Source organism: Homo sapiens, chromosome 2, assembly GCF_000001405.40.
Source record: "Homo sapiens chromosome 2, GRCh38.p14 Primary Assembly".
Taxonomy (NCBI): Eukaryota; Metazoa; Chordata; class Mammalia; order Primates; family Hominidae; genus Homo; species Homo sapiens.
In genome coordinates, this window is record NC_000002.12 from 119338655 (window position 1) to 119350770 (window position 12116).

Consider the following 12116-nt stretch of genomic DNA (forward strand, 5'->3'; position numbering starts at 1 on the left):
CATATTCAGTTTCTTAGAAAGACATATTTAATAGGAACTTACAAACAGAAGCCATGTCTGTGTCTCAGGCTTTGGCAGGACAAGACAAGGGATCCACGCACCACTACCCCCCAGACCCAGGGCTTATATCATAGGGAAAGGGTGATCTGAAGGGATGTGTAGGGCAAGCAAAGTACAATAACATCAAGGTTGCTTGACCTAAGGTCAGGATTTATAGTAAGTACCTGTTCTTACATAGGGAATAGTAGATAACCTGGAAATCTTAGAGGTATCTTGAAACTGGGGCTAATGAGAAGTCAATATGGCAGATCAGTATCCAAGATGGAGTTGCTTTGGCCTCCGCAGGAATAAAACAAACATAGCAAAATGTTAACACAAGGAATCTGTGTGAAGAACATCCAGGAATTCTTTGTCTTGTTCTTGCAACTTGTCTATGAGTTTGAAATCATGTCAAAGTAAAAAAATTACATTGGATATAAAGCAATACCTTTGTCAAAAGCAATGGAACTATACAAGAAATCTGCAGATTGCACCATATGTAAATAACACTTCAATTAAAGTAATGAAACCTTATTTTAGATGTTTTCTCAAAGTTCGATGATTGGAACACTTCAATAATTAAAAATGGAGAAGAGAAACCCATTGAGGACATAACAGAATGAAGACTAACTTCATGCATACTTCTAGTTTGAAACAATCAACTAGCACCGCCGTTTCTGTGTCTGTGACCACAATTATCAGCAGCTCTCATGACTTCCTGCTGTACAGCCTCCGCTCCCCTCCCACCACACTTCCCCATGTGACCACCCCACACCCTCTGTGCTCAGCTGGGTACCACAATCAGCTACACTACACCCGCTTGCTAATCAACCTCCAAATACATAACCCCATTAACAACAAACCTAGATATTACTTTTAATTAAAAAAAAAAAAAAAGAAGCCAAAAATGACGGTCACAATCCCTCATGAGGACACAGACTATTCAGTGAGAATCCTTGAGGGAGGCCCTCTGCAGATGCCAGGGCCCAGAACCGGGGCTCGCCCAGCACCTGGCTTGGAACCCAGGTTAATCTTTCAAAGTACTTTAGGATTTGTTAAAGATTATTATTAATGTCATAGTCAGCTATTTTTAAAAACTACTAGTAAAACAAAATGGCTTTCACATCTCATACCTTGCTTTAGAAATACGATAAATTCCTTTACAGTTTGGTCCAAATTCACTCCGTGATACACTACAGGTTTGAAATTGCGATGTTCAAAGGAACGGATGAGGCGAACTGTGATGGTCACTTCTCCAGGAGCCATGTGAAGAAATTCCTGTGGCAAGAGACATGAGAACCATCTAAATGAAGCCAGCTCACAGTTGTCTACCAGCACCTAGCCTGCATCTCTATCAGCTCTCTGGCACCAGCCCCGCTCTTCCATGCTGCATGATCACTGACAGAGTTCCCAAACAGAAGCCAGGTTCCAGAGTCCCCAGAAGGGTCCCAGTGATTATACCCACCTATCCACTGCAATCCTGGACAGCTCTGTCACAGTCACAGATGTTCTGACCAGCAGAAAACTGACAGAGTACAGAAGATGAACCAAAGTAACACAGGGGCATGTGTACGTGTGGAAACAGAGAAGCAGGACGGCCGAACACAAACACACAGCAGACACACGCCTATTGTGGGTGCCCTATGTCCGTGGGCCCCTCAGCTGGCCCTGAGATGGAAGCACATTTACATTAGAATCAACTATCAACAGACAGCATTTCAATTTCATAAATGCTGCCAGATTTCAGGGCTTATTTAATTATATACGATGGTGTTACCGTCTTTCACATTACTAAAGCTGAGTATGTATAGTTCATCCTAAAACTAAGTACTAGGCACATGTACCAGGTCTTAATGTTATCTCATTTAATTCATTTAATTCTCTAAACAAAACATGAAGCATTTTGCCTCATGGTTTCGTGAGAGAATTAAATGAGATAACATTTTAAAGATGAGAAGACTGACTTGGAGAGATTGCATAAACTGCCCAAAATCATGAAGCTGGTAAATGATGGAGTCAGGATTCAAGCATCAATTTAATTGCAAAGTTCATGCTTTCTAATACACACACACACACACACACACACACACACACACACACACACACACAAATTGGAAAACCACCCCAAATTATTTCCTCCAAAAAATGTCTGCACAGTTGCCAATGTTTTTTTCATGCTTAAAAAATATTTTTGTTTTGAAATATTGTAAGCAAACAGTTAAAAAAAAAAAAAGAACTTGCTACACTACCCTGTCAAATCTTAACATTCTGATGCATTCTGAGTCTTTTAGGAAGAAAACACATCAGAAGCCCCATGTACCCTCCCCAATTCCATCAGCATTTTCTGCCCTGGGACGACAGAGCAGTGACTCGCACACACCATTCCAATACATAATTTTACACTCTAATTCATATCATTTGAATCTACAGAAAATAGACTATTATGCACAGCAGTAACAACACTTTCTATATTTTTTTTAATCTTGTTTTGTTTTGTTTGAGACAGGGTCTCACTCTGTCACCCAGGCTGGTCTCCAACTCCTGGGCTCAAGTGATCCTCCTGCCTTGGCCTCCGGAAGTGCTAGAATTATAGGTGTGAGCCACCATGCCCAGCAACACTTTCTGTTATATATCAGCAATGCTTACATGCCAGATACTACTCTAAGTGCTTAGCATTCATTAGATCATCGACTGCCCACTCACCTCCAATCACCCTGTGAGGTTGGTAAGATCATCTCATACAGAAAAAGTGAAACACAAATAGGCTGAAGTACTGTGCCCACAGATACACAGTATGGTTAACTTTACATACATGGTGTATTATAGGTAGCTTCCACAAGCCTTTCAGCATCGCTTTTCATTTATCTATGTTGAAAGATGTAACTCTAACTCTCACATTCACTTTCTGAAGTATCAAAAACGCATTTGTTTTAAAGATACGAGCAGGGCATAGTTCTATCTAGTAGCACCTACTTTGTGCTACTTACAACTTTGCATGTAACTTTAAACCATAATATACAATAAAAGTAAGTACTAGAAAAAAAATACCTGTAATACTGATAAATGTAAGGAAAGATATACAATATCACTAGTAGTCAGGGAAATTCAAAATAACAGTGAGACATATCACTCATCTAACTGATAAATTACAAAGTCTAACAATACCTACTATTGGCAAGGGTAGAGAACAATGAAAACCTCATCAGTGACGGCAGGGACTTAAAGGAGCAGTACTTTTGGAGACAATAAGGCGATCTTTAGTAAAACTGAAGATACATATACCTTTTGATCCTACAATTTCATTCATACATAGGTACCCTAAGGAATCTCACATATATATACAAGGAGGAACCATAAAATAACATTAATAGCAGTGTAATTTTTTAACTGCAAAAACTGGAAACAACTGTCCATCAACAGCAGAATTGATAAGTAAAGGATGGTGTACTCCTACGATAGAATATGACAAGCAATAGAAATGAATGGATTGAAGTACAAGCATTAAACATGGATAAATCTCAAAAATACTACCACGAGTGGAAAAAAGCAAGTTGCAGAAGAATCAGAGCATCCTGTACTATCATTTATACAAAGTTCATAAACATAGTCTTTATTTCGTTTGATAGGAGACAATTGGCCAGGCGCGGTGGCTCACCCCTGTAATACCTGCACTTTGGGAGGCCGAGGCGGAAGGATCATTTGAGGTCAGGAGTTCGAGACCATCCTGGCCAACGTGGTGAAACCCAGCCTCTAATAAAAATAAAAAAAATTAGCCAGGCATGGTGGCGGGTTCCTGAAATCCCAGCTACTCTGGAGGCTGAGGCAGGAGTATCACTTGAACCCAGGAGACGGAGGTTGCAGTGAGCAGAGATCGTGCCACTGCACTCCAGCCTGGGTGCCAGAGCAAGACTCGGTCTCAAAAAACAAAAAAGAAAAAAAAAAAGAAAGGAGACAATTATCTGAGGTGTAGGAAGAATTATGTACTTGGGAAGGAATAAATTGGGGCTTCAATTATATTAGTAACATTTTATATCTTAAGCAGATGTTAGGTATATGGGTTGTTTGTTTGTTTGTTTGTTTGTTTTTGAGATGGAGTCTCACTCTGTCGCCAGGCTGGAGTGCGGTGGTGCCATCTTGGCTCACTGCAACGTCCCTCTCCCGGGTTCAAGCAACTCTCCTGCCTCAGCCTCGTCAGCCTCGTGAGTAGCTGGGACTACAGGTACGCGCCACCAGGCCCGGCTAATTTTTGTATTTTTAGTAGAGATGGGGTTTCACCATGTTGGCCAGGCTGGTCTTGAACTCATGACCTCGGGTGAACCGCCTGGCTCGGCCTCCCAAAGTATATCATTCTTTATGCCTTTTAGTATGTCTGGAATATTTTATAACATACACAAGCAAGTCACATTAATTTGGCCTAGAAAGTCTCTCTGAATCTTATAAGCATGTTTTGTGGTTAATGAGTTTAACAAATCTTTTCACAATTTCAATATTAGTTACTTCACTATTTCTTATTAAATCTGGCTTACAATGCTTCTCAGAAAATCGTATCCCAGAATCTACCACATAATAGCAGTTCAGCAAATACCTACAAAATTAAAATTTAAAATATACTGAAGTATTCAATAAGGAGTAGCTCTTCAGAAAGAGACATATAGAAGCCTCTTGTATTTTAGAAGCAGTGTTGACAGGTTTGCTAAAGCTATGACCACGTCTCCCTCTTCTCACCCCCTAAAACAACAAAAAAGCCCTCCCATACACACGCATATGCACACACCTATACCTACACACACACACACACACACACACACACACACACACACACTGGGAAGCGCTGGAATGCAGCCCAGTGTCCCTAAGAACCTAGAGTTGAACAGATTTAACTTAAAGATCAACTCTGCTTCTTAGCTGCAACTGTCTGATATATAAATAAGAATTCCTTAAAAAGCTGTTCCATGTTAGCCGGGCGTGGTGGCACATGCCTGTAGTCCCAGCTACTCGGGAGACTGAGGCAGGGAGGTGGAGGTTGCAGTGAGCTGAGATTGCGCCACTGCACTCCAGCCTGGGCAACAGAGTGAGACTCCATCTCAAAAAACAAACAAACAAAAAAACAAGTCGTTCCATTAATTTAAGAAATTAACATACATAAAACACAATTCCTCACACACAGGATCTCAATAAGTAGTAGCTGCTTTTGTCATTATTATTCTATTTGGATTAAAATAGGTTTGGGTATAAAGACAGCCTATATAAGCAGCAGATAAAGATAAATTCCCAGATGTAATGAAGCGAAGGCTGGGCAGGCTGGCACTTGCATTCCTCATGAAACTGTTTTTCACAATTACAGGTTTGTTATTTTCACTTAATAAAAAGCTGCCCATATGCTGTACTTAAATAGTTGAACTTTTCCATTTAAAACCCCAAAATTTGTGTTATATCTAATTTTGGACAACTATTGTCATCTTTCTTTTATGTGCTTCAATTTATACTCAGTAACAAAACAATAGCTACTATCAGAAGGACCATTATCTAATTTGCCTTAAGGACAGTGGGACATAGGCTTGTTTGCCTAGAGGAGCTGCCTCAGCTTAGAAGACTAACCTTACAGATAATAAAATCTGACATTTTTCCCAGAAAGTTTGGCCTAGTTTTTTAAAAAAGTGAATCTGATCAATTTTTAAAAGTATTCCTCAAATGAAAAGGCAGAGAAGCCAATAAAAATAAACTTCAGGATAAATTAATTAAAAATATTCAAGGATATAAAAGATTTAAATAAATGAAATGATAGACAATGTCCTTAACTACAAAGGTTCAAAGTAGTAAAGAAATCAAGTCTCCCTAAATTGACCCATTGAATAAAATCCCAATCAAAATAAAAAAGAGCTGTTTGGGAATCTTGACACAAACAATTCTAAAATCCATCTAGAAGAATCTGTGAGCTTTGTCAGCAAAGTCATAAAACAACAAAAAAGAAAAGAGACCAGTGACACCAATTATTAAAACACATTATAAAGCAACTGTTACATAGGAAAAAGCTTGTTTGATTTTCATAATTTTACAAAATCCAATAACAACTATTTTAAATGCAAAATCAAGCCACGGTAATATAAAATCGGATACTGGAGCAGAAATAGATGGACAAATCTGTGAAATCTAACAGAGAAGTCAGACTTAAGATTATAGAAAATTTAATATAAGATGAAAGTGGCATCTCAAATTAGTGGGGAAAAGATAGTTTCCTTAATAAATGGCATTGAGAAAACTAATAATGGATTTGGGGAAAAGTAACAATGGATTCTTATCTCACTCCTTATACAAAATAACGTGTCTATGAAACAAATATTTAACTATAAAATCATGAAGAGGCACCAGAAGAAAATAGGTACATATTTTTATAATCTTAAGATAGGAAAAGCTCTAAGCAAAGACAAAGCAGCAATCATCAAGGAAAAGACTGATAGTTGTAACAACATAAAAATGTAAAAAGAGACCAATATCCTAATAGAAACAAGGATAAAGGTAATTAACAGGCAACTGGCTAAACTTAAGCCAATAATGTGAAAAGATCAGCTTTACTTCCAACTAAAGAACTGAAAGAGAAACAGTTATCAATTTTGCCATCAGACTGGTATAATAAGAAAAATTGAAAACTGGCCAACCAGTGTTGGCAAGGATATGGAGAAACAAATATTTTTTTATAAACAACTGGCAAGAACATAAAATGAAACAGCCTATCTGGAGGTGAGTGGGTAATCTGTACCAAAATTTTAAATTTGTCTACCCTTTGATATGGCAATTTCTTTTCTAACAATTCACCCTGAGAAGAGAATCATATCAATTATTTTATAAACCCATGGGTTCATAATGACACTTTTTTAAAAAGCTGGTCATTCTGGAGGCTAACAAGGCACTAATTTGTTTTTCTGAAAAGTGGCTTTCCAAGTGAGGGTTGGTAGAAATAAGAAGTCAAACATTTTACCCTTCCTTTCTTGTACAGACAGTATTTCAGCGTTATCAAATAGCTGATGAAAAAAAGTTTCTTCTTTATAGAAGAATTACAGCTAAAAAGTACTAAAAGAATAAAATTTTGGCCAGGTGCGGTGGCTCACGCCTGTAATCCCAGCACTTTGGGAGGCCGAGGCCCGCGGATCACAAGGTCAGGAGATTGAGACCATCCTGGCTAACACGGTGAAACCCCGTCTCTACTAAAAATACAAAAAATTAGCCGGGCATGGTGGCGGGCGCCTGTAGCTACTCAGGAGACTGAGGCAGGAGAATGGCGTGAACCTGGGAGGCAGAGCTTGCAGTGAGCAGAGATCGTGCCACTGCACTCCAGCCTGGGCGACAGAGTGAGACGCCATCTCAAAAAAAAAAAAAAAAAAAAAAGAATAAAATTTTAAAATCCTAATTTACATACCTATCAGGATGGCTAAAATAAAACACAGCAATAGCCCCAAATGTTGGTGAGGGTGGAGAAATTCACATACATTGCTGGTAGGAATGTAAAATGGTACTAGCCAGTCTGAAAAAGAATATGGCAATTTCTCACAAAACTAAACATACCCATTATATAACCCAGTAATTGCATTCTTGGGCATTCATGCTAGAGAAACAAAAAGTTATGTTAACACAAAAACCTGTATATGAGTGTGCACAGCATATCCATGTGTAATGCCCCAAAACTGGGAAATAATCCAAATGCCCTTTAACATATGAATGGTCAGGCAAACTGCAGTATATCCATATCATGAAATACTAGTCAGTAATAAAAATAAATAAATTATTGATACAGGCAACAATCAGGGTGAATCTCAAGGGAATCAAGCTGAATGAAAAAAGGCAGTCTCAAAAGCTTGCATACTGTATAATTCCATTTTTATGTCATTCTTATGATGACAAAATTACAGAAATGAAGAATGCATTAGGGTGTTGCCAGGGGTTAGGGGAAGAGGGGGAAAGAGGTGTCATGTCTGTGGCTATTAAAGGGTAAAATGAGAGATCCTTGTGATGGAAATGTTCTGATTCTTGACTGTAGTGTTACCCATTTTTATCTACATGTGATATAACTGCACAGAACTAAATGCATACACACACAGGCATACACATATATACACACACAAGTGTATATAAAACTAGTGAAATCTAAATGAGGTTCATTGCTTGTATCAATTTCAATTTCCCGGCTGTAAAATTGGACTATACTCAAGCAAGGTGTTGCCAATGGGGGAAAGTGGATGAAGGGAAATGGGATCTCTGTATTATTTCCTACATCTACATGTGAATCTACAATTATCCCAAAATAAAAAAATTCCAAAAATTATCATTCTGAAAACTCTAATGAAATGAGTGTAGGTGATGATCATAAAGCGGTGTTAAAACCATCAGGTAAGACTGACGGGGAACTTCAGCATGGGTACATCTGGGGCTGACAACACCTGAACTTCATAATCAACATTAGTGAATGAATCGAGCCTCCAGATCTCATTCCCAGTTTATCAGCTATGACAGGGTATGGAAGAACATGTTAAATGACACCACAAGGAGGCCATCAGCCAAGTTCAGATGGTGGAAAATTGTACTGGAAAAATGACTCGATTTCTTCAACAAATGGCATGAGAAATAAAGAAAAGAGAGGAAGGCTATATATTAAAAGAGACTTAAAAGAGCTAATCTCAACGGATGCAACATTTAGTCTTTGTATGGATCCTAATTTGTATAATATTAGATGATATTAGGAATTAATGTTAATTCTGTTTATATGATATTATGGTTGTGTTTTTAAGTCCTTATCTTAAAAGACTGAGGAATATACAGGTGAAATGATGACCTGTATTTGCTTTCAAATACCCTAGCAGAGGAAAAACAATTATAGAAGCGTAGATTAAAAAAAGAATAGTAGAGACCAAGCATGGTGGCCCACGCCTGTAATCCCAGCACTTAGGAGGCCGAGGCAGGAGGATCACTTAAGCGCAGGAGTTCAAGACCAGCCTGGGCAACATATCGAGACCTCATCTCTCCAAAAATAATTTTTTAATTAGCTGAGTGCAATGACCTCAGCTAATTAACCTTTTTATCTTGAAATAATTGTAGATTCACATGTAGATTTGGGAAATAATACAGCGCTCCCATTTCCCTTCATCCACTTTCCCCCACTTGGCCACATCTTGCTTGAGTATAGTCGATTTTACAGCCAGGAAATTGACATTGATACAAGCAATGGACATCTATAATCCTAGCTACTTGGGAGGCTGAGGCAGAAAGATCACTTGAGCCAGAAGTTTGAGGCTGCAGTGAGCTATGTACTGTGCTCCACACCACTACTCTCCAGCCTGGGAAACAGGACAAGGCTCTGTCTCAAAAAAAAAAAAAAAAAAAAAAAATACTAGACCATTGTTAACTGTTGAAGTTGGTTATGTATGAAATCTCATATACTATTCCATTTGTAAATGCTTGACATTTTTCATAATAAAAACATTTTGCAAGAAGACTATAAGTGCGCAAAGGTGTACATTCAAAGATTTTCTTTCACTGAAATGTTTCTAACAGTTAACAAAATTAGAATCCACTTAAATGTCCAACAGTAAAGAAATGGTTAAGTAAATTATGCCACACAGTAAAACAAAATACCCTGCAGCCATTAAAGGGTGATATGGATGTATGGATACCAACTTTGAAAGATGGCCATGACATACCAGTGAGTAAAAAAACAACTTAGGCTGGGCACAGTGGCTCACGCCTGTAATCCCAGCACTTTGGGAGGTCAAGGCGGGTGGATCACCTGAGGTTAGGAGTTAGAGACCAGCCTGACCAACATGGTGAAACCCTGTCTCTACTAAAAGTACAAAATTAGCCAGGCGTGGTGGTGCGCGCCTGTAATCCCAGCTACTCGGGAGGCTGAGGAAGGAGATTCGCTTGAACCGGGGAGGCAGAGGTTGCAGTAAGCCAAGATTGTGCCACTGTACTCCAGCCTGGAAGACAAGAGTGGAACTCTGTCTTAAAAAAAAAAAGAAAAGAAGTTAAAGGGCTCGGTGCCGTGGCTCACACTTGTAATGCCAGCACTTTGGAAGCCCAAGGTGGGCAGGTTGTTTGAGTCCAGGAGTTCAACAGACCAGCCTGGGCAACATGGTGAAACCCCATCTCTACTAAAAATACAAAAGTTAGCCCGGCATGGTGGCGTAAGCCTGTAGTTGCGGGGCTGAGGTGGGAGGATCGCTTCAGCCTGGGAGGCAGAGGTTGCCAAGAGCCAAGATTGCACCACTGCACTCCAGCCTGGGAGACAAAGCCAGACCCTGGTCTCAAAAAAACAAAACAAAACAAAAATTAGAAAATTGCCTGTGTACAGTATCACTGCATGTTTGTAATGTAGGTGTGTTACATGTGAACATAAGCATGGAGAGATGTCCAGAAAAGCCTTTACCAAAACATTAACAGTGGCTGTCTCTGAGGGGCAGAAATCCAAGAGACTGTTACTTGTTTTATATACTTTTTAATATTGTTTGATGTTTTACCAATCATGTGTTTTTAAATTAAGCTATTTCCAGTATACTTGTATTTTCACTTTTCTGATATATGTGTATGCATCAACAATAAGTTATTTTTAAAACTCAGCTATTTCCATTTGTTTTTAAGAAGGAAGAGACAACAGAACAAAGCAAACAATACCAAACTTACAGAGTACTGGAAAGGAGGGAAAGGCTAGGAACTTAGTTATACTCCTGCTATGTACCAAGGAACACCAAATAAATCCAAACAGCATTCGGAGGCACCAGAAGCAGGTCACACGCCCAGAGGAGTCTGAACTTGTCCCGCTGCCTCTTCAGTGGTATACGTCAACATCAAAATCTGCTTTTAACATATCCCTCCAGCTACAATGACAGCTCACAGTTCCCCACACCCACCACGCTGTTGCCAAGCCTCTACCACACCTCTCCAGCCCCAGCTTCTCTCCAAAATCCCTCCGCCCCTCACCCTCTTTGCTTTCCCACAGAGGCTCCTTCAAGACCCAGCTCAGGGGGCTATCTTCTGCAGGACACCTTTGAGCTGGGCTCCTCCTCTCCCCCAGGCTGAGCCATGGGCCCCCTCTGTATGCTGTAGCACCTATCACTCGATGTCGATGTCATCTGTTTTAGAGGTCTGGCCCACAAGCTCTTTAAAGGGAAAGAATGCTGTATGGTCCGTTTTTGTAGACCCAACAGCTTGTGTAGCGTGAGGCACCTCAGAAGCCCCATAAATGTTCTTTTTAAAATTGTTAATTTTGTGTAGAGCTAGGGTCTATGTTGTCCAGGTGGGTATTGAACTCCTGGGCTCAAGCAATCCTCCTGCATTAGCTTCCCAAAGCACAGGATTACAGGTGTGAGCCACCACGCCCCGCCCACACCGCCCCCCGCCCCCCCACCGTCCCGCGTAAGTGTTTGTAGAACTAATGAGCAGTTAAAGGGAGGAAAAAAAACCTGATTTCTTCCATTTCCTAAGGACACACGAACATGGCAATCTTGCACTAGAGACACAGGACCCAAGAAAATGTTTGAGATGTGGAAAAAAAATCAAAATTAATATTAATTATATATTTATAATATGTAACAGTTCAACAGCAACTTGATTCTATTCATAATTATATATGTTAGATTTAATGTAGGATACGTGTATATTTCAACACATAAGACCCAGGTGGTGCTTTGAAAAGTAAGAGTGCCTAGGGCTTGGGAAGGTCTTTAAGCCTCCCTGCCTAAAAAACCTGTAGTTCTAGCTAGTAACTTACCCAGCTAGTTTGGGGCAATGCAGAAAAGCCCATATGCAAAGCAAAACAAAGCTCTTACAAACAAAGCAAACACAAAACTTCCATAGGAACTGCCTTGCATGGAAGTCCCAGTTCGATGGCCAGTAACCACTGCATCAGAGCAGCCCAGCACCCTCCCCTCTGCAGCTGCTTTTTTGGTCCAAGCTGCAAGGATGGTGAGGAGGGAAGCATAGCTTGGAAGCTTTGAGACCCCATAGATGAGATGGGCCTTCAGCCTTCAGTCCTGGAGCCTGTGGTGGAAATTCAGCAACCAGGCAAAGCCAGAACAAGCTAACTGCAACGC

At 39.9% G+C, this 12116-nt stretch overlaps 1 protein-coding gene across 9 annotated transcripts in view; it reads right to left on the reverse strand.

The window, feature by feature from the left end:
- The window catches only part of C2orf76 (chromosome 2 open reading frame 76), an 86022-nt gene that overhangs the window by 57525 nt on the left and 16381 nt on the right, over positions 1 to 12116 (reverse strand). For 7 of the 9 annotated variants that reach the window (XR_007069611.1, XR_007069609.1, XR_001738623.3 and 4 more), the window contains exon 2: positions 1173 to 1317. Coding sequence is in view for 6 of the 9 variants with exons in the window: in NM_001322330.2 (NP_001309259.1) it covers positions 1173 to 1305 (133 nt within the window). In the remaining 3 variants the exon portion in view is untranslated. Of the gene's footprint in view, positions 1 to 1172; positions 1318 to 1504; positions 1708 to 12116 lie in introns of all 9 variants that reach the window. The other 2 variants (NM_001322329.2, NM_001017927.4) reach the window with 1 other exon arrangement.